At 62.6% G+C, this 23,626-nt stretch overlaps 3 long non-coding RNA genes across 3 annotated transcripts in view, besides 11 other annotated features; 1 reads left to right on the top strand and 2 right to left on the bottom strand.

The window, feature by feature from the left end:
• LOC124903820 (uncharacterized) overlaps positions 1 to 17,662 on the bottom strand; it is a 33,257-nt gene extending 15,595 nt beyond the window's left edge. The window contains exon 1 of the long non-coding RNA XR_007065351.1: positions 17,588 to 17,662. This is a non-coding gene — a long non-coding RNA (uncharacterized LOC124903820). The remainder of the gene's footprint in view (positions 1 to 17,587) is intronic.
• Positions 910 to 1,429: an enhancer, noted in NCBI's record as "H3K27ac-H3K4me1 hESC enhancer chr1:1080297-1080816 (GRCh37/hg19 assembly coordinates)". NCBI's record gives its function as "activates a minimal SCP1, AML or CMV promoter by ChIP-STARR-seq in naive H9 embryonic stem cells {active_cell/tissue: H9 hESC(naive)}" and the evidence as "EXISTENCE:reporter gene assay evidence [ECO:0000049][PMID:30033119]".
• Positions 2,290 to 9,329, bottom strand: LINC01342 (long intergenic non-protein coding RNA 1342). The gene is made up of 3 exons (NR_038869.1): positions 9,236 to 9,329; positions 5,314 to 5,521; positions 2,290 to 3,607 (listed from the first exon to the last, which is right to left on the bottom strand). It is a non-coding gene; the product is annotated as a long intergenic non-protein coding RNA 1342 (long non-coding RNA).
• Positions 4,554 to 5,075: an enhancer, noted in NCBI's record as "H3K4me1 hESC enhancer chr1:1076651-1077172 (GRCh37/hg19 assembly coordinates)". NCBI's record gives its function as "activates a minimal SCP1, AML or CMV promoter by ChIP-STARR-seq in naive H9 embryonic stem cells {active_cell/tissue: H9 hESC(naive)}" and the evidence as "EXISTENCE:reporter gene assay evidence [ECO:0000049][PMID:30033119]".
• Positions 6,998 to 7,497: an enhancer, noted in NCBI's record as "H3K4me1 hESC enhancer chr1:1074229-1074728 (GRCh37/hg19 assembly coordinates)". NCBI's record gives its function as "activates a minimal SCP1, AML or CMV promoter by ChIP-STARR-seq in primed H9 embryonic stem cells {active_cell/tissue: H9 hESC(primed)}" and the evidence as "EXISTENCE:reporter gene assay evidence [ECO:0000049][PMID:30033119]".
• Positions 7,498 to 7,999: an enhancer, noted in NCBI's record as "H3K4me1 hESC enhancer chr1:1073727-1074228 (GRCh37/hg19 assembly coordinates)". NCBI's record gives its function as "activates a minimal SCP1, AML or CMV promoter by ChIP-STARR-seq in naive H9 embryonic stem cells {active_cell/tissue: H9 hESC(naive)}" and the evidence as "EXISTENCE:reporter gene assay evidence [ECO:0000049][PMID:30033119]".
• Positions 8,531 to 8,630: a silencer, noted in NCBI's record as "silent region_40". NCBI's record gives its function as "represses an Ori minimal core promoter by ATAC-STARR-seq in GM12878 lymphoblastoid cells {active_cell/tissue: GM12878}" and the evidence as "EXISTENCE:reporter gene assay evidence [ECO:0000049][PMID:35858748]".
• Positions 8,701 to 8,780: a silencer, noted in NCBI's record as "silent region_39". NCBI's record gives its function as "represses an Ori minimal core promoter by ATAC-STARR-seq in GM12878 lymphoblastoid cells {active_cell/tissue: GM12878}" and the evidence as "EXISTENCE:reporter gene assay evidence [ECO:0000049][PMID:35858748]".
• Positions 8,841 to 9,030: a silencer, noted in NCBI's record as "silent region_38". NCBI's record gives its function as "represses an Ori minimal core promoter by ATAC-STARR-seq in GM12878 lymphoblastoid cells {active_cell/tissue: GM12878}" and the evidence as "EXISTENCE:reporter gene assay evidence [ECO:0000049][PMID:35858748]".
• Positions 9,131 to 9,380: a silencer, noted in NCBI's record as "silent region_37". NCBI's record gives its function as "represses an Ori minimal core promoter by ATAC-STARR-seq in GM12878 lymphoblastoid cells {active_cell/tissue: GM12878}" and the evidence as "EXISTENCE:reporter gene assay evidence [ECO:0000049][PMID:35858748]".
• Positions 9,401 to 9,460: a silencer, noted in NCBI's record as "silent region_36". NCBI's record gives its function as "represses an Ori minimal core promoter by ATAC-STARR-seq in GM12878 lymphoblastoid cells {active_cell/tissue: GM12878}" and the evidence as "EXISTENCE:reporter gene assay evidence [ECO:0000049][PMID:35858748]".
• Positions 10,412 to 11,496: a transcriptional cis regulatory region, noted in NCBI's record as "candidate enhancer chr1.97 targeted for multiplex CRISPR interference". NCBI's record gives its function as "positively regulates NADK gene expression in K562 cells {active_cell/tissue: K562}" and the evidence as "EXISTENCE:mutant phenotype evidence [ECO:0000015][PMID:30612741]".
• On the top strand, positions 17,362 to 23,443 carry LOC124903819 (uncharacterized). The gene is made up of 2 exons (XR_007065349.1): positions 17,362 to 17,855; positions 18,914 to 23,443. It is a non-coding gene; the product is annotated as an uncharacterized LOC124903819 (long non-coding RNA).
• Positions 22,571 to 23,389: an enhancer, noted in NCBI's record as "H3K4me1 hESC enhancer chr1:1058337-1059155 (GRCh37/hg19 assembly coordinates)". NCBI's record gives its function as "activates a minimal SCP1, AML or CMV promoter by ChIP-STARR-seq in primed H9 embryonic stem cells {active_cell/tissue: H9 hESC(primed)}" and the evidence as "EXISTENCE:reporter gene assay evidence [ECO:0000049][PMID:30033119]".

The following is a 23,626-nucleotide window of genomic DNA, read 5'->3' as shown; positions in this document are numbered from 1 at the left end:
CACGGCCGGGACCCCCGTGGGAAATTCCGGCCAGAGGTGGCCACAGGAAGGCGTCTCTGTGCACCCTTGGAGGGGCTGGACACTGTCCCCTGCTGGAACCCACAGACCCATGGCACTCCCAGGCTGGGGGGCAGCTTTGCTCCCTGGAGGCCTCGACTTGGTGCGGACCCTGCCCTGGCACCGGCCGGGCCCAGGGCTCCCCCAGACCTGACTCGGACACAGCCACGTTTGCACAGGTGACAGATTTGCTTCCCAAAGCAGCAGTGGTGGCAGCATCAGCATCTAATTTGAGTGAGAATTCTCAGATTCGGGGCAGGGGGGGCTCTGGAACCCCACGCAGTGCCAGGCAGTACTGAGAATGGGCCCTCCCAGGGCTGCCCACCGGCCCCCAGACCCCAGAGGGTGCCAGGAAGGCAGTGGACAGGCTCCTCTCCCACCAGGATGGGGCCGAGAGGGCTCTGCGGGATCCCCTGTGGCCTCCTGGCCCTCCCAGCCCCTGCACTCCCGGCCTCTCCATGCTGCTTTGTGGCCTCTGACCCCTGACCCTCCTGGGTCAGCCAGTGGAGAAGGTCTGCCCCTGAGCCTCAGACGCCCTGGCAGGCCCCACCCTGGCACCACCTCTGCCAACGTCAAAGGCCGCTCCCCCTGGCTCTGCCGGACCTGCAGCCCCTCCGGCCTCCTGGACTCACCTGGGCTCTGCCCCTGCCCCCAGCCCTCGGCCTTCTGGGAGCCCTCCTGGGGGGTCAGCCATGAGGTCAGGGGGGTCAGTGAGGTCATGAGGATCAGCCATGAGGTCAGATCGGGTCGGCCATGAGGTCAGGTGGGGTTGGCCATGGGGTCACTGGGGTGAGCCATAAAGTCAGGTGGGGTCAGTCATGAGATGGGGTTGGGTCAGCCGTGCGGTCAGGTCAGGTCGGCCATGAGGTCAGGTGGGGTCGGCCATGAAGGTGGTGGGGGTCATGAGGTCACAAGGGGGTCGGCCATGTGGTCAGGCGATTACATGCCCTCCTTGCCTTCCTTCCCCGGGCGGCCCTCAGCTGCTCCCGCCTGTCCCCTGGCAGGGCGTGTCCTCTGGAGATACGGGCGGGGCTCTCGGGGCAGAGGCTGGATGGACGGGGCCAGGTCCGGTGCTGGAGTTCAAGTGACACTGACTGAGGTTCCCGGGGAGCACAGGCCAGGAGGGGCCACGGTGTCAGCCAGGAGGGACTGTGGTTGGGTGTGGAGGGGAGGAGCGGGGGGCTGTGGGGTGAGACCCCTCCCGGCTGACTGGGTGCTGTGGGCACTGCCGGCCGCATGCCAGGGTTCCTGCCTCGTGGGGACTCCGGCCTGGGCGAGTGCAGGTCTCAGAGCGCAGGTGCGGCAGTGACCCCAGGCCTCAGTCCTCTCCCCTCCTGGGGGTGGGAAGGGAGGGGAGAGAGGCCCGGAAGGCCGGGGACTCCCGCCAGGGGACTGAGGGAGGCCTCGGAGGGGTGGGTGGCCTGTCTGGGAAGCTGCTCTGGATCCGGCGTCTGGCCTGGCCCGGTCCCCGTCTGCACAGCACACACCACGGAGGAGAAGGAGGAATCGCCCGGAAGCCCCGAGAGGCAGGCGCGGCCCCACAGGCTGTAGAGCCCCTCGAGGTGCGCACAGCCGAGTGTCCCCGGCAGGCCAGGCCCCGGGCCCAGGTGCCGTTGCTGGGGCCCTGTGGCTGGCGGCTCGGCTGATGCAACCCAGGCTCCAGGAAAGGCTGTCGTTATGGGCTGTTTCCCTGGCAGGGAGGGGAGCGCTGGGGCCCTGGGCTCCTGTTGGCAGAGGCCTGACCCAGCTGGGCCAGGTGTGGCCAGGTTTCTCCAGGCCCCTGAGCTGCGGGAGAGTCTGCAGCCGCCCTGCCCTGCCCGTGGGCTGGCTCCTTCCCCCTTTCTCGACGCCGCAGCAGAGTTAATGAGGCCACTGGGCCTCTGCCGGGTAATTGGTCTCCAAAGGCGGGAAAGTGTCACCAAAGACGCTGCCGGGACAACAGCAAGAAAACCGCCACCGCCTTTTCCACTCCCGGGTCTAACTGTGCCCTGGGCCACCCAGCCCGGGGGGAGTAGGCTTGTCTCTCAGAGGCACCGGAGAGAAGACGCACTTCCTCCTCTCCAGGTGCTCAGAGGAGGGCCGGAAACAGGCCTGGGCCTGGGCAGCCGCCGAGGGTGATGGGGCTGCCCGGGGCCGTCGAGAGGGGAGGCTGCTTGCCCGGACCTGGGAGGCAGGTGCTGGCTGTTCTCAAGGGGCTGCGTGTGATGGGAGAAGGGGCGGAGACAAGGTGCATTTTGCAAGAGAGTTTGTGTTTTAATTGGAGCAGAATTCACATAGCATAAAATAATTTTGAAGTGAGAATTTGGTGGCATTTATTGCACTCACAGGGCTGAGTATCCACCACCTATATCAAGGTCCAGAACATTCCGTCACCCCGAGGGAGGCCGAGCTCCCAGGCTGCAGCCACCGCCCCGTTCTGTCTCCACGGACTTGCCTGTCCCAGGGGTTGCCCAGTACCAGGGTCACACACACGATCCAGGGCCTTTCCCGCCTGGCCGAGGGGACCCCACTCCACACAGCCGCGCCCTCAGACACGGGGCAGCTCTGAGCTCCCGCGGAGCCTGTCCAGTTTGTTCACAGCAATGGCCCTGCCCTCAGCCTAGGCTCTAGGAACTGGCAGGGCAAGGGGGCAGGAGGGGGCCCAGCAACAGGGCCACACCCTCAGGGGATGCCCAGGAAGGACGGGAGAAGCCACGCAGGGCTGAGCGTGGGGCGGCTGGGTGCCCTGATGGAGAGCCGGGGCTCTGTCCACACCTGGACACCTCCCGGCCGTGGAGAGCAGAGGTCGGCCTGGAACTGCTCCCGAGATGCAGTGTGGGGCTGGGGGAATAGAGAGCGAGTCAGGCGAGTCCCCAGGCAGTGCAGGGCTGGGAGAATAGAGAGAGGGTCGGGGGAGCCCCCAGGCAGTGCGGGGCTGGGAGAATAGAGAGAGGGTCGGGGGAGCCCCCAGGCAGTGTGGGGCTGGGGGCCTAGAGAGTGAGTCGGGGGAGCCCCCAGGCAGTGAGGGGCTGGGGGAATAGAGAACAAGTCGGGGGAGCCCCCAGGCCTGAGGTAGGCAGCGCGGGGAGGCGGGTTTGGGAGAAAAGCAAAGACCACAGTTTTAGACACAAGTTCGTATGAGAGCAGGACACTTCAGCGACCGTTAGGGCGGGAGGCCGGGCCCATGAGGCTTGAATTTGAGGCGACCCACAAGGCCTCAGCCCGGGGTGGCTCAGCCCAGCTGGGGTCTCTGAAGTTCCCGGTGCCAGAGCTGCCACGTGAGAAGAGGCAGGTGCCGCCCTCCATGGCACAGCCCGCAGCAGGCATGTGGCACCAGTAAAGCCGGGTCCTCCAAAGACGAGAACAGCAGCTGGGGGGGGACCTGGCATTTTCCGAAGACACAAGGGTGTCTGGGGAGAAGGGCTCTGCTGCCCCTGCTCCCTGGTGGACGCTGGCGCTGCCTGGAGCTGCGTGGGGACCTGGCTGACGGGGATCCCTCCCTGCGCCAAGACGCTTGGGGTTGCTAATATCAGGGGTGAGCCGGCCCCTGACGTGCAGGGTGACCATGTGCCTGGAGAAGGAAGATCCTTTTAGAAGGTAGGAGGAGCAGAGCGTGCAGGTGGGGAGGTGGGAGGACAGCAGGGGTCCCGGCTGCCTTCAGAGGCCGAGGGGAGGCTGGGGTCGTGGCAGGAGGCAGTGGGGGAACCGTTTTGCTAAACGGGAGGCTGAGAGGGCGGCAGTGCAGGGGTGCTGTGGGGAGGACGGTCTTGACTGAAAGACGGGGACGGGGTCGGGCACAGTGACTCACGCCTGTAATCCCAGCACTGTGGGAGGCCGAGGTGGGCGGATCATTTGAGGTCAGGAGTTTGAGACCAGCCTGGCCAACATGGTGAAGCCCCATCTCTACTAAAAATACAAAAATTAGCCGGGTGTGATGCTGGGCACCTGTAATCCCAACTACTCAGGGGCTGAGGCAGGAGAATCCCTTGAACCCGGGAGGTGGAGGTTGCAGTGAGCCGAGATCGTGCCACTGCACTCTAGCCTGGGTGACAGAGCAAGACTTCATCTCGAAAAAATAAAAAAAAAGAGAGACGGGGATGGTGTGCTGGGGACTGAGGGCAGACACGGCTCAGTGGGAGCGCAGGGCCCCAGCCGAGGGGTCCAGGCCTGGGGGCTCCCCTCTCCCGAGCACAGAGGGGTCCAGGCCTGGGGGCTCCCCTCTCCCGAGCACAGAGGGGTCCAGGCCTGGGGGCTCCCCTCTCCTGAGGACAGCGTCCACGCCGAGGACTGACGGGTTGACGTGAGGAGGAGGCAGGCGGGGGTGGCAAGAGCCTGTGGGGTCTTCAGAAGCCAAAGAGGGGCCGGTGTTTCCTGTAGCCAGGTCAGCTGTGGAGCCGAGGGTAGGGGAGTGGTCTTGGGCCCTGGGGACCAAAGCCCAGCGTGAAGCTGCCCCCAGGGATCCACAACCATGCAGGGTCTCCCCCGGTCGGCCCACGGGCCCAGGTGCCTGTCTCCTGGGGCTCGGGCTGAGGGGAGCTGAGAGGAGGGAGCAGCATGGACCGGGGACCGTGGGCGAGACGGCTGCGGCCTCCGAAGGCCACTCTCTGGGTGCAGGAGGCCAGGCCGGGGGACGTTCATTGAGGCTGGGGGTTGGAGGGGCACTGTGGGGGGCAAGCGAGAGCCTCTGAGAGGGAGGACGCTTGGCCGGGTTGGTGGGGACAGGAGGGAGTCAGGTGGATGCAGTTGGGGAAGCAGGGATGGGGGGGACAGGGGTGGGGATGAGGGTGGGGACAGGGGTGGGGACAGGGGTGGGGATGTGGTGGGGGCGGGGGGTGGAGGCGGGGGAAGGATGGGGTTGTGGACGGGGCGGGGATGGGGGTAAGGATGTGGGTGGGGATAGAGGTAAGGATGGGGTTGTGGACGGGGCGGGGATGGGGGTAAGGATGGGGGCAGGGACGGGGGTGGATATGGGGGTGGGGATGGGGTGGGGGTGAGGGCGGGGGGATGGGGTGAAGAAGGGGTAGGGGATGGGGACAGGGATGGGATGGGGACGGGGGTGGGGATGGGGGAATGGGGGTGGGGCGGGGGTGGGGACAGGGATGGGGATCGGGGGATGGTGTGAGGAAGGCGTTGGGGATGGGGGCAGGGATGGGGCTGGGGGCGGGGACGGGGGTGGGGATGGGGGTGGGGATGGGGTTGGGGACGGGATTTGGGGAGGCGTGCTAGTGCACGGGGGGCTTTTGAGGAGACGGTTTGCCGGGACCCCCGAGTGCCCACCTGAACAAGTCAAACCGGTCCCATTTCCCGCACCTTTGTCTGGTGGGTGGGAGGCTAAACTAACCGCCTCAGCGCCGCGAAGAACAAAGCCGGGTGGGGCCGTGCCCACCAGCCTCGGAGCCGGACCCAGCTTCTCCCAGGCTGATTTCTGGCCTGGCCCTGGTGTCGGGCCAGCGTTGAAGCCTGAGCTCTGTGGCTGCCAGGGGTTCTGGAGCAGTGACGGGGTGTTGGTGAGCACCCCACACCGTTCCCTGGCTGCCTGGTGAAGGCCGTTCTCCACCTGTGGACTCTCTGGGACCCATTTCACTGCTTTACACATTGAAACCCCCACCTTCTGACCCCAGGAAGCTCCCCAGGACCCAGGTCCCCCGGTTCGACGTTGACACCCCCACCTTCTGACCCCAGGAAGCTCCCCAGGACCCAGGTCCCCCGGTTCGACGTTGACACCCCCACCTTCTGACCCCAGGAAGCTCCCCAGGACCCAGGTTCCCCGGTTCGATGCTGACACCCCCACCTTCTGAACCCAGGAAGCTCCCCAGGACCCAGGTCCCCCGGTTCGATGCTGACACCCCCACCTTCTGAACCCAGGAAGCTCCCCAGGACCCAGGTCCCCCGGTTCGACGTTGACACCCCCACCTTCTGACCCCAGGAAGCTCCCCAGGACCCAGGTCCCCCGGTTCGACGTTGACACCCCCACCTTCTGACCCCAGGAAGCTCCCCAGGACCCAGGTCCCCCGGTTCGACGTTGACACCCCTACCTTCTGACCCCAGGAAGCTCCCCAGGACCCAGGCCCCCCGGTTCGACGTTGACACCCCCACCTTCTGACCCCAGGAAGCTCCCCATGACCCAGGTCCCCCGGTTCGATGCTGACACCCCCACCTTCTGACCCCAGGAAGCTCCCCAGGACCCAGGTCCCCCGGTTCGATGCTGACACCCCCACCTTCTGACCCCAGGAAGCTCCCCAGGACCCAGGTCCCCCGGTTCGATGCTGACACCCCCACCTTCTGAACCCAGGAAGCTCCCCAGGACCCAGGTCCCCCGGTTCGATGCTGACACCCCCACCTTCTGACCCCAGGAAGCTCCCCAGGACCCAGGTCCCCCGGTTCGATGCTGACACCCCCACCTTCTGACCTCAGGAAGCTCCCCAGGACCCAGGTCCCCCGGTTCGATGCTGACACCCCCACCTTCTGAACCCAGGAAGCTCCCCAGGACCCAGGTCCCCCGGTTCGACGTTGACACCCCTACCTTCTGACCCCAGGAAGCTCCCCAGGACCCAGGCCCCCCGGTTCGACGTTGACACCCCCACCTTCTGACCCCAGGAAGCTCCCCATGACCCAGGTCCCCCGGTTCGATGCTGACACCCCCACCTTCTGACCCCAGGAAGCTCCCCAGGACCCAGGTCCCCCGGTTCGATGCTGACACCCCCACCTTCTGACCCCAGGAAGCTCCCCAGGACCCAGGTCCCCCGGTTCGATGCTGACACCCCCACCTTCTGACCCCAGGAAGCTCCCCAGGACCCAGGTCCCCCGGTTCGATGCTGACACCCCCACCTTCTGACCCCAGGAAGCTCCCCAGGACCCAGGTCCCCCGGTTCGATGCTGACACCCCCACCTTCTGACCCCAGGAAGCTCCCCAGGACCCAGGTCCCCCGGTTCGATGCTGACACCCCCACCTTCTGACCTCAGGAAGCTCCCCAGGACCCAGGTCCCCCGGTTCGATGCTGACACCCCCACCTTCTGAACCCAGGAAGCTCCCCAGGACCCAGGTCCCCCGGTTCGACGTTGACACCCCCACCTTCTGACCCCAGGAAGCTCCCCAGGACCCAGGTCCCCCGGTTCGACATTGACACCCCTACCTTCTGACCCCAGGAAACTCCCCAGGACCCAGGTCCCCCGGTTCGACGTTGACACCCCCACCTTCTGACCCCAGGAAGCTCCCCAGGACCCAGGTCCCCCGGTTCGGAGTCCTGCTTCCCCCGGATGCAGCTCAGGATGCCTCTGTGGGTGGTCCTGGGGCAGGATTCCTTCCCGCCTTGTGAACGGGGTCCCGCCCAGTGTGGCCCCTGGGGTCCAGAACCCGCAGGCTGGGCCCTCCCATGACCTGGAGGCCGTCCCATTGCAGAGATAGGGCCCTAGAGTTCACCTGCAACACTGCAAGCCCCAGGCCCCCCAACCTGTCCCCAGACGGGCAGGTCCGTCTTCAGAGAGCTTCTCCCTAAGTTCTCACACCGCAGAATCCCCCCAGACCTCCCCCAAGCACAGCGTGTGGTGCCCCAGCCCTCTGCTGTGGTGACCATTGCCTGAGGCACCGACAGTTGTGTCTGAGTGGGCCAGGCCCTATGGGTCACTCCAGCCACCTTCGCTGCCAGGTGGGACCAACTGTGGCCATCCCACCGCCCAGAGGATGTTCCTGCCCCTTCTCCTTTCCTTGGCCTTTTGTCACTTTTTTTTTTTTTTTTTTTTGAGATGAAGTCTCACTCTGTCGCCCAGGCTGGAGTGCAGTGGTGTGATCTCAGCTCACTGCAACCTCTGCCTCCCAGATTCAAGCAATTCTCCTGCCTCAGCCTCCCGAGTAGCTGGGATTACAGGCATGTGCCACCACACCCGGCTAATTTTTGTATTTTTAGTAGAGATGGGGTTTCACCATGTTGGCCAGGCTGGTTTTGAACTCCTGACCTCAGGTGATCCACCTGCCTCGGCCTCCCAAAGTGCTGGGATGACAGACGTGAGCCACCGCACCCAGCCAGCATTTTGTCTTTTCTAAAATGAATCCCCAGGCCGGGCACAGTGGCTTGAACCTGGGAGGCGGAGGTTGCGGTGAGCGGAGATCTCGCCCTGAGACCCCCCGCCCGCCCCCTGCTCATTCCCACCGGGCAGGAACTCGTGGGCACGACCTCCTCTCGCACAGCCCTGTCCTGAAGGCCTCCATGGGCTCCTGGGATGGGAAGACACCCCTGAGGCGTGAACTCCCTCCAGGCCACACAGGACGTGAGCCTGAACCCAGAGGCTGGGCCACACCTGAGCATGTGCCTGGTGGGAGAGGAGGGGTGCGAATCCCTTAGGGAACCCCTTCCTCTGAGAGTCCTCACTCCTGCTGGCAGGCTCAGGGGTCCCCACTGCAATGGCCAAGACCCCCTGCAGGGCCCACCCCACTCACTGCTGGGGGAACCAGACCTCCTGGACAGAGGACCCCGGGCCCCGCCCCAGGACCCAGCCAAGGGCTGGGCTGGGAGGGAGAGGGGGAGGGAGGCGGGGAGGGTACACGCCCAGTCGCAAGCCCTCCAGGCTTTAAAGCTGTCCAATGGCAGCAGGCTGCTGTGAATGGGGTCCGACACAAATTTGTAAACCTTCTTAAAACATAAAACATAATGGGATTTTTTTGGCAATTTTTTTTTCGCTCATCAGCTATCGTTAGTGTATTTTATGTGTGGCCCAAGACAATTCTTCCAATGTGGCCCAGGGAAGCCAAAAGATCGGCCACCCCTGCTTTAAAGCACCTGCCCTGTTCCCGGAAACCCCCAGCCGGGACTGACGGGTGACTTCAGTCCAGAGGGTGCACAGCCTGCGGGTTCCGGGGAGGGGCCGCGTGGGGGGTTCTCGACCGCAGCCCTCCCACCCCAGGGCCACAGAGAGCCTGCGGGGGGCGGGGCTGAGTGTCCCGGGCCCCCAAAACCCGGCCCAGCGGGGGCAGGGTCCCCGCATCCTCGCATCCTCGGGGTCCGGCCCCTCGTCGCGTGTCCCGGGCTCTGGGCCCCGCCCGCCCCCCTGGCGCCCCCACCCCACGCCGGCCTCGACCCCCGCCACGGTTCCTCCGGTCTTTCCCTGAGTGTGCGCAGGAGGACGGGAGCTCCCAACGCACCGCAGAGGGGGCAGGGGGACCCCCAGGACCCGCCCTCCCGGCACCGCCTTTGTCCCCGCGCACCTGGCGGGGCTCGGGTTTCCCGGGCGGCGCTCGCTCCGGCCGCGCCCTCCCCGCCCTGGGCTCCCCCAGCTCTCGGTGGGCGCCGCGTCGTTAGCTGGAAACCAAAGAAGGGGCGCGACCGAGCCAGGCAGGTGGCCCAGAGGCCCAGGTGCAGCCCCTGCCCCGCCCAGGGCCCGACCATCCCAGCCCAGCCAGCGGGGGTGTGGGGTCCCCACCATCCCACAAAGGCACGTGGGGCCAGGTCCTCAAACTGACCACCCGGCCGCCCCTCCTGCTGCCTCCCCCCAGGCCCCGCCAGTGCCAGGGAAAGGGTTAAGTCCACCTGGCGACCGCACCTTTGTTTGCCCGAGAGCTGCACCTGCGCCCCAATTAACGTGGGCAAATGAAGTGAGACCGGGTCCAACAGGAAAGGAACCGCCCTCCTGTGTGCCAGGCGGCCCGCAGGGACCCAGGGCAGGGCCGGCTCGACACGCCCTGCAGCTCCCACCTGACCCCCTCCTGCCTCCCATCAGAGAAGCTGAAGCTCCCTGTGCTGGATCCTACTTTCTCAGAAGGTTTTAGGCTGGCCACTCAGCACCCCACACAAACACAGCATCTGGCCTAGCTCCTCTGCCCTGCCCAGCACCCACAGGGCCTCCACCTCCACGCCCACCGTCCCCAGTCCCCACCCTCACCCCCATCACCGTGTTTCTCAAAGCCCTGTCCCTTCCCCTTCCCTCGACCACACCATAGGCCAAGGGTTGCAGTAGCCCCCAGCCCAGCCCCCAGGCACCCAGAGGGCTGTGAACAGTGGGCCCCAGGCACACAGGGGGCTGTGAACAGCAGCAGGCTCCTTTTGGCCTTGGCCCTCTCAGCATGCAGCCCCCTGTCTCTTCAGTGGAGTGAGAGGGGCCGGCCTCTTAGCCAGGACTGGTTTGTGCCACCAGGGACCACACCAATTCCAGACCTGGGTTTTGGCCCCTGGACAGAGTACAAAATGCAAAAGCAGAATTTCCAGAAGCCGGACCCTGTGAGCTGCAGAAGCCGGGCCCTGTGAGCTGCAGACAGAATGAGGCGTGTCGGGATGGGAGACACCCGTGCTTCCAGCATTGCAAGGAGAATGTGGAACGCTCCGGAACCCCTCACCCTCAGCCTTGCCCACGGGAGCTGGGGCAGTGGCCCCTGCCCACCTGCACTCACCAGCTGTCCTGGCAGCGTGAGACCAGCCTGGTTGAGGTCTTTATGTCAGAGACCTTTGAACCAGAGCAACTCCATCTTGCACAGGGCCTGGGTAAAATGAGGCTGAGCCCGGCTGGGCCACGTTCCCATGAGGTCAGGCATCCTTAGTTACAGGATGAGATAGGAGGTTGGCACAAGACTGGTCACAAAGACCCCGCTGATAAAACAAGATGCTGTGAAGAAGCCGGCCCCAAATCACCAAAACCAAGACAGCCAGTCCTCACTGCTCATTATGCGCTGATTATAATACATTAGCATGAGAGACACGCCCACCAGCACCAGGACAGTTTAGTTGCCACGGCAACGCCAGGACGTTACCCTAGATGGTCTAAAAGAGGGAGGAACCCTCACTTCTGGGAATTGCCTGCCCCTTTCCCAGAAAAGTCCGGAATAATCCACACCATGTTTAGTACATATCAAGAAACAACAATAAGTATTCTCAGTGGAGTAGCCCAGGCCGCTGCTCAGCCTATGGGGCAGCCCTTCTCTTATTCCTTTACTTTCCTATTAAACTTGCTTTCAGTTTATCAGTGGACTCCCCCAAACTGTTTCTTGCTCGAGGTCCAAGAGCCCTCTTTGGGATCCCTTTCCGGTGACATTTACGCCCAGGGAATTTGTGCCCAAATGCACAGATCAGGCCCCTACCCTGAGGGCCCCCACTGCCTGCGACCATCCCATTCCAGACTCTCCCAGGCCCCTCCCTGGGGAGGGAGGTGGCAAGACCCTGTATCCAGGCCCCCGTGGTGGAGTGGGGTCTCCCGAAGGCCCAAAGGATACGGGAGGAGCCCCCGGGTGGTCAGAGCATCGGGGCGGGGAGGGGACGGTGACCCCGGGGGATGGACAATGGCTGCAGCCAAGATATCTGCCTGGGGGAGGTGGGATCACGGGTGGGGTCTCCAGGAGTGGAGGCCTCGGTGGCTACACGGAGATTCAAGCCCTTTGACGCCGCAGGCAAAGTCAGCCAGGACCCCATGGGTCCGTGACTCAGGAAGGCCCCTGGGAAGCCAGCCATCGCTGCCCAGCCCCCAGGGAGCCTGGCGAGTAAGCCACCCCCTCACGGTGTCCCCCTCCTGAGAGGGGCTGCAGCCTCAGATGGCGAGGAAGCCACACCCCTCACGGTGCCCCCTCCTGAGAGGGGCTGCAGACTCAGATGTCAGATGCTGCTGCGGGATGTACCCATCGGGGAGCCTCCCCACGGGGCCACCTGCTACTGTGGGGCTCTGCGCCTGCACGGACCCCCACCGGCCTCCAAATGTGCAAACACAGGCGCCTCTCAGGCACTCTGGGCCCCTGTTCGGCGGAACGCTGAAAAGGGCTGGTGCCCATCCCACTGAGGGTCCTGCGGGCACCTCAGCAGGACAGCGGACCCCGAGGAGCTGGTGGAGACACCCAGGGCCCTGCGAGGCCTCAGCCTCCCCGTGTCGCGGGGCCGTGTGCAGGGTCTGGGTGTAGGGACAGCCACACTATGCCAGGCCTGCAGGAGACCCCTCCCCCCTGAGGCAGCCCCCTGGTCCCTCGGGGAACTGGATGTTACTGGTGCTCCCAGGACAGCACAGAACTGTTTAGGGAGGGAAGCACTGGTGACCTGTTCTGGTTTTTGAGAGTGGAGTCGGGGTGGCGAGGTGAGGGGGTGAACGGTTTGACAGTGGAGTTGGGGTGGCGGGGTGAGGAGGTGAATGGTTTGGGACAGGGCAGAAAGCAGACGCGGGCATGTGGGGAGGGGGGCGTGAGGGATTTCGCCATGCGGGGATGTTTTGACAGCACTGGTTACCTGAGGCCTGTATTTCTTTCTTTTTTTTTTTTTTTTTTGAGACGGAGTCTCGCTCTGTCGCCCAGGCTGGAGTGCAGTGGCCCCATCTCGGCTCACTGCAAGCTCCGCCTCCCGAGTTCACGCCATTCTCCTGCCTCAGCCTCCCGAGTAGCTGGGACTACAGGCGCCCGCCACCACGCCCAGCTAATGTTTTGTATTTTTAGTAGAGACGGGGTTTCACCGTGTTAGCCAGGATGGTCTCGATCTCCTGACCTCGTGATCTGCCCGCCTCGGCCTCCCAAAGTGCTGGGATAACAGGCGTGAGCCGCTGTGCCCGGCCTTACCTGAGGCCTGTATTTCTTAGGAGAGAGAGAAAACCACTAAGTTTTCTTGGACACAGGAGGGGACCTCAGCAAGGAAGCATGAGCAGCCGCCCTTTTCCAGGAAAAGAAAACAAAATCTACGTCCTGGGAAGCTTTCCCTCCCCACGTCAACCACCTCCCCAGCCAGACCTGTGGAAGGGAGGCTGGGAGGCCTCAGAGTAGGGCCAGTGCCTGCGTAGGGTCAGTCAGCGGGGAGGAAGTGGAACATTAAACCCCAGGCGGAGTCGTCCTGGCCGCCGGCCCAGCCTCTGCCTGACGCTGGGGTCAGAGCCCAGCATCTGCTGAGGAGGCCGGGCAGGCAGGCGGCGGGCAGGGCGCAGGGCGAGGGGTGCAGCCACCGGGAGCCCCCCACACCGGACCCCGAGCATTGAGACTGCAGTGCCCACCCAGCCGGAGCGTCATCCTTGGCAGGACCCCACCAGGAGGGATGTACCAGGGATGCTGGACACCCAGGCCCCGCCACCCCAAAACAACGTCTCCACGTAAACCCAAGCGACCTTCCCTGGGGTGGGTGTGACCTGCCCTCCCCACCACTCTCAGGGCAGTTTTCTCCACCTGTAGCTCCCCCGGGCTCCCCAGGGTTCCTGGTCCTTCTCCTCTGTGTTTCCTGCTTGCTCCTAAAACTCAGCTTTCAGGCGGAACACACAGCCCGGAACCACCCTGCTCTCAGGCGGAACCCGCGAGCACACGCAGCAGAGCTCTGCTCTTCCTGGGGTTTTAAGGATGAGACATTGCAAGGTCCCCCGGGCTACACAGTGACCCCTCTGGCAGGTTGTGCCCCCAGAGTTCATGGTTAGAATCCAAACTCTCAGTACCAACAACGCGAGCGTGTGTGGAGAAGGGGCTACGAGACAGGTGAGTATGTGGGAAGCAGCCGTGAGGATGAGCCCTGGCCGGGTCCCACTGGTGTCCTAGTTGCAGGAGGAGGTTAGGGCAGAGGGACACGGGACGGACCTGCGCAGAGGCCGCCTGAGAGAAGGCAGCAGCGGGAGAGGCCTCCGCAGAACCAGCCCGGCAACCCTGGGACACCGGACCTTCCCCTCCCCCTCCGAGGCTGTGAGAAAATACATTTCTGTTGCTTAAGTCCCCAGGCTCGGTATTTTGTTCCAGCAGCTGGAGCTAGGACAACCCCAGACGCACCCGGCCAGCCCTGAGGGAGGGCGTTCACCGGCTTCCCATACGCATTGTAGGAGGCCGCATGGGCACCCTCCTCAGCCCTGGGCACCCTTGTCGTACCTGACAACCCTGTGTAGATTCCCTGCAAGCATCCAGGGTCCAAGGCGGCCGCAGGCTCCTCAGACAAAGGGCTTCCTCCACACATGGGCTCAGGGCTACGGGCTCCCTGACATCGACCTCCCCGGCAGCCGCCCTGGTGTTTCTCCCATTTGCCAGCGGACACATCCCAGGTGACACCCCACCTCGGAAGAGGCCCTCCTGGCAGGTGCCTGGCCCCAATGCCCAACGCAGGGCTCGCGGCGGCGATGGCGGCGGGTCTCAGGCAGGAGTGGGATCTCTCTGCTGTCCGGTCCTGCCCCTTGCCCCTGAGAGGCCCCACAACCCCACCCCCAGCACACCCTGCATGGGCACCCCCGTCTCAGGCTCTGCCTCCCGTGCCCTGACCCTGGGCGCAGAGGGCCACGTGCCTGTGACTCCGCTTCCCTGGCGGTGAGGGGTCCGGCCTTGTGTCCCATGACTCGGGCTCTGCTCCCTGACGACCTCGCTGGGGCTGCCCCCACCCTTCCGTGGAGTCCTTTGCGACGGTTTCTAAGGGCTCAGAGTGCAGCATTGATTTCAACCATGTGTCTCTGTCATTAAAATAGTCCCCTGACTTTGCCTGTGGAATGTTTTGCTCTCTTCCCATTTTAAGTTAAATGTGGTCAGTGTGACGGAAGGAAATGCGGGTTTTTCTCCAGACCGTCTTGTGCAAGGAGAAGAAGCCTTGAAAAGAAGAGGCACAAACTATCAGGAACGTCCTCGAAGAGATGAGCGAAAGCACGTGGCCACAGAAAACCATGAGGATGCAACAGAAAGAACGACTCCGAGGGGCCGGGCGTGGCGGCTCACGCCTGTCATCCCAGCACTATGGGAGGCCGAGGCGGGCGGATCATGAGGTCAGGAGATCGAGACCATCCTGGCCGACACGGTGAAACCCCGTCTCTACTAAAAATACAAAAAATTAGCCAGGCATGGTGGTGGGCACCTGTAGTCCCAGCTACTCGGGAGGCTGAGGCAGGAGAATGGCGTGAACCAGGAGGCGGAGCTTGCAGTGAGCCGAGATCACATCACTGCACTCCAGCCTGGGCGACAGAGCGAGACTCCGTCTTAAAAAGAATGACTCCGAGGACAGAAACGAAAAGCGCTGGAAGGGACGGAGCCAGGACGTTCCCCGAACGTGACGTGAAAAGGCAAAGAAAATGGGATAGAAAAGGTGATTAGAGGACCTGCTCCAAATTGCAGCAATATTCACCAGAGAAAGAGAGAGCAACAACAAAAAGAAAAGATAAAGAACAAAATCATTTAAAAATTGTAATTCAAGAACATTTCCTGGAGCCGAAGCTCAGGCATTTCCAGACAGAAAGAGCCACTGAGGACCCCGTGAAAGGGATGAAAACGGAACCACACAAAGATCCACCTTCACAGGACAGCAGAGATGGAGACAAAAAGAAGGCCCCAAAAACTTTCAGGAAAAAACCCGCAGAAACAGGTTCCATACCAAGGCCCCGGGGTTGGGATGCCATTGCCGGACCCACAGCAGCCTCGGGAGCCGGGGACCCTGCGGCGAGGTTTTCTCAACTCGCAGGGAAGCGAAGGCCTTGGTGGGGGCCCGCCCTGTGCCCTTCACAGGCAGCTGCAGCTGTGGGCGTGGTGGGGGCCCACCCCCTGCACCTCACGGGGAGCTGCGAGGGGCTTGTTCCACCAAAACACTGAGAAGACAAGAAAGGGGAGGTGTGGGGCCCGGGAAAATCCCACCCAGGGGAGAAGCAATGGGACCTTTGTGACACGGACCACGAAGCCTGCAAGACGCCAGCCCTGCCCCAGGCCCGAGGGAGCCGACCAGCCCCGGGCAGGGCAGGAGGCTCCCGGAGGCCCCTCAGAAATACCTGGCGTGCCGGAATTTAAGTCATGGGGGAGAGTCTGAGGCTGAATTAGTAATGAGTTCAGAGAAAGCTAAGCAAGAAGAAAAGCAAAGGCGATTATTAACTTCAGGGAAACAGCTCAGAGTTCGGGTGAGAACAGGCGGCCACGGTGGACCTGGCACCAAGCTAGTCCCCGGCGCCCAGCAGAGTGACAGCAGAGACCAGGCGCGGCGCGTGACGGCGGGACGAGAGGTGGGAGGGCGGCAAACAGCCCCTTCCACAGGGCAGATTCAGGGCTGACCCTGAAGCTGGAGTGCTGAGAAGCTGCCGTTTGCCAGTGACGTTGGAAGTAAACACAGGAGCCTCCCAGCACACGGAGCTGGTGGCCTCGGCGCGGCCTGAAGATCATATGTGTCCAAGCCTTGCAGAAGTGTTTGACTCTCAAGCAACCTACAGGCATAACTGGTTTTTTTTTTTTTTTTTTTTTTTTTTTTTTGAGACAGAGTCTCACTCTGTTGCCCAGGCTGGAGGGCAATGGTGCCATCTGAGCTCACTGCAACCTCCGCCTTCCAGGTGCAAGCGATTGTCCTGCCTCAGCCTCCAGAGTAGCTGGAATTATAGGTGCCCGCCACCACATCCAGCTAATTTTTTTGTATTTTTAGTAGAGACAGGGTTTCATCATGCTGACCACGCTTGTCTCGAACTCCTGACCTCAAGTGATCCGCCCGCCTTGACCTCCCAAATGCGAACCACTGTGTCCGGCCACAAGCATAACTTTGATAGAAAAGGCAATAACAAATTAAGTTGGTGCGAGCTTTACCCTCTGAGTCCTCGGAATCATTTTTAAAACATAAAGGTTTCCAGAACTCACAGCTGTGAACTTAACTGTTCTCAAGGGGGTATCTTTGATTGATTTTCCTAACTCTTCTACGATAATCGGCCTTTTCCCCTCTTCTGCTTCCTCTCGTTCTGGCAGCCGATGCTCACATCCATAACAGTGTCTGTTTCCCTGGATTTTCCCATCCCAGGGCCACGCAGAGTGCAGCTCCCCTACACGGCCACGGCATTCTGTCCCTCTGTCGCGTGGCCATGCGTGGCTCAGTGCCGTGGGAGCCTCTCCGTGTCTGAGGCCGAGGGCAGGCTGGTGCCCCATTCGCTCTGTGCCTCACAGGCGGCCCTGATGCTCTGTGCTCCAAATCTCTGCAGGACTGGATTTCGGCCGGGACAGAGGAGGCTGTGCCCCCACCCACGTTGTTCCCAATGCCCACGCACCTTGTCAACTGGAATAAATTTGGTTTCCCTGCAAGAGCTCTCTGCCAGGAAATGTAAATCATGGCTTCTCAGTCTCTCTCCCCCTCTGAGGGCCCCCTGGCTGGGTCATTCACAGGCCCCGAGGAACTCTGGGGCCTTCGCAGCCATCTTTTCCTACAGGAACCCCCAGACACCCATAATCATCACGGGGACCCAAGACCCCAGCTTCTCCCGGGGGGCACATGGTCACCCTGTGGCCCCCTCCAGGCATCTCCGCTCAGGCTGTGGGACCCCAGGCCCGGCCCACCTGGCCAGCACAGCCCTGCAGGCCCCAGCTGACCCTCACCACCCCCCAGCCAATAGCAGAAGCCGCCAGCCCTGGGGAAGGCCCTCCGGCTGAATCCCTCCTCTTCTGAGGCCTTGCCCTCCCCGCGGGCTCCGCCTGCCACAACTGTGCCCTGGGCTCACCAGCGGGACCCCCAGGTCCTCCCCAGCACACCATGGAGGCCCCTAAGGGCTGGGCCTTGGCCAGGCGACTGGGGAGGGGCTGGTCCCGGAAGAAAAGCTTTGTGGGGCCGTGGGTGCGGGGGCTTTCGGCTCATCAGAAGCCACCAGCCCTTGAGACAAAACCTCCCAGACGCTGTGGGTCAGACCCACAGAGCCTCAGTCCTACCTGGTCCTGGGAGGGCGGAGGGCGGTGTGGGCCTGGTCCCAGGACGGCGGAGGGCAGTGTGGGCCAGGCGCGGACTCCCCCGGGCGCCCTCATGGTCTTATCTCTGCCCGGCCGGCGGAAGGCGGCGGGAACCTTTGCCTGGTACAACCACTACTGCTCCACAGCCCAGGAATTTGGCATTGAATAATTTTTAACTTCTGCTCTGAGAGAGGAGCTGGCCTTGGATTTAGTGTCCGTGCATGCAGGAATGCCGGGGCTCCATTTTCAAGTAAGTGCCTCGCGGAAAGCCGGCCTCGGAAAAGCAGAGAGAAAAGAGCAAGAAAAGTCAGAGGGGCAGGTCTGGCTGGCATCCAGCGGTGGCCAAGCCCGCAGCCCAGGTCTGACCTCACAGATGGACAGCTCCCCATGTGGGAGAAGCCGCGGGCATCTGGGGGGGGCACCAACTCCCTGGGGTCTAAAGCAGGGTTTGCGCTTCCTGGCAGGGGGGAAAGGCTGCACCTCACACCTCTCTGGGTGCAGAGCGGCTCCGGGACGGCTCCCCTCTCCTGCGCGCCCGCCCCACCTGTAACCCCAGGCCTGGTCCCGCATGATATGTTTGAATGCCAGAACCCGACGCAGCCCGCGCCACGCCCGAAACCTGCACCCCCGTCTTGCAGTCGCTGCCCTTGGCAGTCAGCACGAGCACCAGACCTGGGGGTCCTTCTGTGCTTGTCCGAGGCTCAGGCCTGTGACCCTGGCTGCTGGCTGCCCCCACTCCCACAGCACGGGCCACCAAAGCCCCAGTCCTGGGCCACAGTGGGGCGGTGGCGATGACACCCAGGGCCCTGCGGCTGAACGTGGCCAGGGCTTCACAGAGACCCGGGGCCGCCTTGTCTCCAGCCACGGTGGAGGAGGCAGCGGCCCTGTGGCTCTGCCCATGGAGTTGGGAAACATAAGGCCCAAAAGCAGACTCGTCCTTTAACTGAGTTTCGCTGGGGCCGGCTTGGGGACCCACCTCTCACGAGAGCACTGGCCTGCCGGCATGCCAGAGCCCCTGACACCACACAGGAGCCGGGTGGGGCTGGGCGTAGCCCGTGGTATCGGCCCCCCAGACCTGGCCACCTAGGCCCAGGGCAGCACCCGGGGAGGACGGGGGTCTGGGTGGCCGGTGGCTTCCCGTGGCCGCTGCTCAGCCCCACTCTGTCCAGCCCCCTGGGAGTGGCTGTGGAGGGCATCCTGTGTGCTGGAGGGGCAAGATGGGGAGGGCTCTTGTCCAGAGACCCAGGGGTGCCGTTTCAGAAAACAGAGCATCATGTGCTGGGACCAGACACAGCTCATCTTTTCCAGGGGACGGCGAGAAGGACACGCTCGGTTCCGCACTCTCAGGCTCCTGCTCCTCACAAGGCAAGCGCCTCCAGGGAGCTGCATTTGGGAAAATATCCACCAAGCACTAAAGAAACACAACCATAAAGAACCATAAAGCATCCACGCGGAAAAGCTTATTCAGATCAATAAAGCTGCGGCGGGCCGGGCACAGTGGCTCACACCTGTCATCCCAGCACTTTGGGAGGCCGATGTGGGTGGATCACGAGATCAGGAGATGGAGACCAGCCTGGCCAACATGGTGAAACCCCGTCTCTACTAAAATACAACAAATTAGCTGGGCGTGGTGGCACGTGCCTGTAGTCCCAGCTACTCAGGAGGCTGAGGCAGAAGAATTGCTTGAACCCAGGAGGCGTAGCTTGCAGTGAGCAGAGATTGCACCACTGCACTCCAGCCTGGGTGACAGAGCGAGACTCCGTCTCAAAAAACAAATAAATACATAAAATAAAAGTAATAATAATAAAAAAACTGCAGCGAGGGCCCAGCGTGCCCACCACTCATCAACAAGTCAAAGCGCGAACCCTGTGGGTGCAGCAGCCGGACCTCGGGTGTGCTGGCTTTCCGACACCCAAACCAGCAAACCTCACACCCGCTGCTCGCGGAGGGCCGCTGAAGCCGCAGCGAGGTGAGCGAGACTCCCCACTGGGGACAGAGAAAGACCCCTCCTCCCCCAAGTCACAGAAAGACCCCGTCTCCCCCAAGGCAGAGAAAGACCCCGCCTCCCCCATGGCAGAGAAAGACCCCGTCTCCCTCATGGCAGAGAAAGACCCTGCCTCCTCCATGGCAGAGAAAGACCCCGCCTCCCCCAAGGCAGAGAAAGACCCCGCCTCCCCCAAGGCGGGCGGATCACCTGAGGTCAGGAGTTCGAGACCAGCCTAGCCAAAATGGTGAAACCCCGTCTCTATTAAAAATACAAAAATTAGCTGGATGTGGTGGCGGGCGCCTGCAATCCCAGCTACTCGGGAGGCCGAGGCAGGAGAATTTCTTGAACCCAAGAAGCAGAGGTTGTAGTGAGCCGAGATTGTGCCACTGCACTCCAGCCTGGACGACAAGAGCAAAACTCCATCTCAAAAAAAAAAAAAAAACAGAGAGAATTCCAGGGAGGAGGTCACCACGCCGGTGCCGCCCCGGGAGCAGCTCACACTGACTTCACAGACGCACAGGGAGGCCATGGCGCAGGACAGGCAGACCGGCTGGCAGGCCAGCACTCCAGGCTGCTGAGGGGCCGCTGCTGCCAGCTGACGGGGAGGCCCTCGGCCCCCACCCCGCGGCCCCTGCCCTCCTCCGTCCCCCGTCCTTCCCGGGGGGTCCCTGACTGTGACGGACAGCAGTGTGTTTGGTGTCTCCTGTGCCTGCGGAGCGGTTCTGGAGTCTGTCTATGGAGTCTGCTTGTTTGAAGGCTGCTGTGACTTTCTTATATTTATCAGCAAATTTTGGGGATTTTTTTCCAGCGGGCGAATGGCCCAGGGCTGGAAGCAGGGTCCGTGCTCCCCCGAGCTGCTCTCCTGGGCTTCTTGAGGGCTCAGCTCTCCGGAACGAGGTGGATTGAGGATGGGTCCCCTCCAAGTACACTCCACCCCAGGCCCAGCACGAAGGGTACAGAGGGCGAAAGTCTGGATGGGATACCCCAGCCTGGGAATCTGTGCTTGCCTGGGACTCTCAGCAGGAGGTTGGAAGAGGACGGAGGACCCAGGACTCTTTCTGCACAGGGCCTGGGCCATCCACTCTTTGCCCTGGGGTAACTTGAGGGCCTGTGGAGGAAACATCTTTCCTGGAATCCTGGCCTGAGAGGATGCTAAGGGTTAACCCCTGAGGCTGACCCCAAGGGCGTCCATTCCTGCATAAAAGGCCCAGCTCAGCCAGCCCCATCGGCCACCTCTGTCAGGGGAAGAGTGTAGCTCAGGTGAGGTGTCGGGCGGGCCCCTGCTGGCCTCAGAGTCCACCCCTGCAGGCCACACCTCGGCCGCGGCAGTCCCTTTGAAGGAGAGGAAGGCCTGGAGGAGAGGCCTCGAGGCAGACACACACCCTCCCCTGTCCCCGCCACGGTCCTCCGAGCTCCTCCATGCCTGCTTCTGTGGTAGAGGCTCCTGTGGGGGCAGCTGTACTGGGCCCTGAGACCAAGCACTTCCCTGTGGGGTCAACAGGCCACCTCACTGTCTGAGTGCCACCCTGGGGCGTCTTTCTGGGCCACAGCCCCGGGAGCCGGGAGCTCCTCCAGCACCATGGCCTTCCCTATCCTCTCATCAGAACAGAGAGAGCAGGCACGGGGGCCGTCTTGTACCACGCAGACCAGGCTCCAGCAGCCGGGGCTCCCACCGCCCCTGAACCGATCTGGGGACTCACGGTCAGAGGCCCCCCTTTCCCCACATCCCTCCTGCCTCCCCCAGGCGGACAGACCCCTCGGCCTCCACAGCCGCTCAGCGGCTGCCCTGGGGAAAGCCTTCCATGGCCTTCGTCCTGGTGAGCCCTTATTTGTCAAATAAATATTTGCCCAGGGTGGGGCTTGCCACTCAGGGTCAGGCATTAAATGAGCCTAAAGTCCGCGGAGCCTGCAGCAGTGCCGTGGCCCAGGCCAGCAGCAAGTGAGGGGGAGGCTGGACCAGGGGTCTCTGCCTGACCTGGATGCATCTTCCAGCGCTGAGCTCCTGACTCACAGAGACTCTGCAAGGCCAAGGGGTTCTTGGGGTCTGGAGAACGTGGAGACCCCGGAGCTGATGCGAGGCAGCCTCTCCCTGGGTGGGGCAGTGGGTGGCGAAGGGCCCCACCCTCAGCCTGCGAAGCTCCTTCCAAAGAGAACCTGCAGTGCCTGCCCTGCCTGTGCCCACAGGGCTGCAGTTTCCAATAGAACAGAGGCTGAGGGAACCCGGGAATGTGAGGTCTCAGAGGCAGCAACCCCACGCATGTGGCAGCCCCAAGCAGTGAGCGGACTGGGTGCAGGAGGAGGCCCCAACCACGCCCAGAATTCACGTGGCTTCCTGCATGAGTTAGCTGCTGCCGTGTAACAAGTGACCCCACATGCAGTGGCTGGAACATGCACGTTTACCACGTCTGCTTCCAGAGCTCAGAAACTCAGAGCTGTGGACGTAGCAGGAAGCACAATTGCGAAGTGGACAGGGTGGTGGTTTCTCAGAGCTCAACTGCAGGGCATGTGTGTGCATAGGTGTGTGCCCAGGTGTGTGTCCAGGTGTGTGTGCAGGTGTGTGCCCAGGCGTGTGTGCATAGGTGGGTGCCCAAGTGTGTGTGCAGGTGTGTGCTCAGGTGTGTATGCAGTGGTGTGCGCAGGTGTGTGCACAGGTGTGTGTTCTCAGGTGTGTATGCAGTGGTGTGCGCAGGTGTGTGCACAGGTGTGTGGCGTGTGTGCAGGTGTGTGCGCGCAGGAGTGTGCACAGGTGTGTGCTCAGGTGTGTGTGGCATGTGCGCAGGTGTGTGCAGGAGTGTGTGCAGGTGTGTGCGCAGGTGTGTGCAGGTGTGTGCCCAGGTGTGTGCTCAAGTGTATGTAGAGTGTGCGCAGGAGTGTGTGCAGGTGTGTGCTCAGGTGTGTGCTCAAGTGTTTGCAGATACGTGCTGAGGTGTGTGCGCAGGTGTGTGCTCAGGTGTGTGCAGATGTGTGCTCAGGTGTATGTGCAGGTGTGTGTGGTGTGCACAGGTGTGTGCATGGGGGTGTGGGTGGGGTGTGCTCAGGTGTGTGTGTAGGTGTGTGCACAGGTGAGTGCAGATGTGTGCTCAGGTGTGCGCAGGTGTGTTTTCAGGTGTGTGTGCAGGTGTGCTCAGGTTTGTGCACGGGTGTGTGGCGTGTGCACAGGTGTGTGTGCACAGGTGTGTGTGCAGGTGTGTGCACTGTGTGTGCAGGAGTGTGCGCAGGTGTGTGTGGCGTGTGCGCAGGTGTGCGTGCAGGTGTGTGCTCAAGTGTGTGCTGCATGAGCTTCCGTACTTGCTCCTGGGCTTCTCACTGGCCAGGGCTGGTGTCCAGGGCGAGCCATCCCAGGCAGAGCACACAGGACGCAGCGTTTACAGCCCCATCTGGAGAGCACCACCTTCACTTCTGCCTTTGTCCACAAGGGAGGGGCTTGCATGGGGGAAGAGTAAGCGCTGCCTACCCGGGGCCCTGGATGTAGAACGGCCTGCAGCCAGGACTCCCGTCCGGTGTGTTTGGTGTTGCTGTTTTCCTGGAAGCCTCTGCGTCCCATCTGCGGGTTTGCTGGTACTGGTGGCTGACCGGTTAATGGTATGAAGTAGAGCAGTTTTGAGAAGCTCTGCATTTTGTTTTAGCTTCATGCAGGCACACACGACCCTGCGGGGCCAGGAGAGCAACTGCGGAGAAGGCTGTGCCCTGAGGCGGCAGAGCTGAGGCCAACAGCAACCGCAGAAGTGTGGGGCTTGTCCTCGTGCTGCTCCTCAGTGTTCCTCTTCATTTTCACAGACACAGCTCCGTGCTTTGCACGTATTTCACCATCTGTGTCATATGTAATTAAACTGCATCCTTGCACGGCCAAAGCTCTGGCCTGCGTCTGAGTGACTGGCGTCCCTACGGTGAACCAGGGTTTCCTGTGTGGACGCAGGACTTTGGTGCATAGAGACCCGCGTGAGGCAGAGGGGCTGGTGGATGGGGCCCCAGGTGGGCGTCTGGGGTTCGAAGCTGGGGTGTCTGCCCCACGCTGGCCCCAAGGGTGTTGGTCA

Source organism: Homo sapiens, chromosome 1, assembly GCF_000001405.40.
Source record: "Homo sapiens chromosome 1, GRCh38.p14 Primary Assembly".
NCBI classification, from domain to species: domain Eukaryota; kingdom Metazoa; phylum Chordata; class Mammalia; order Primates; family Hominidae; genus Homo; species Homo sapiens.
This window is presented reverse-complemented; position numbering and strand designations above follow the sequence as displayed.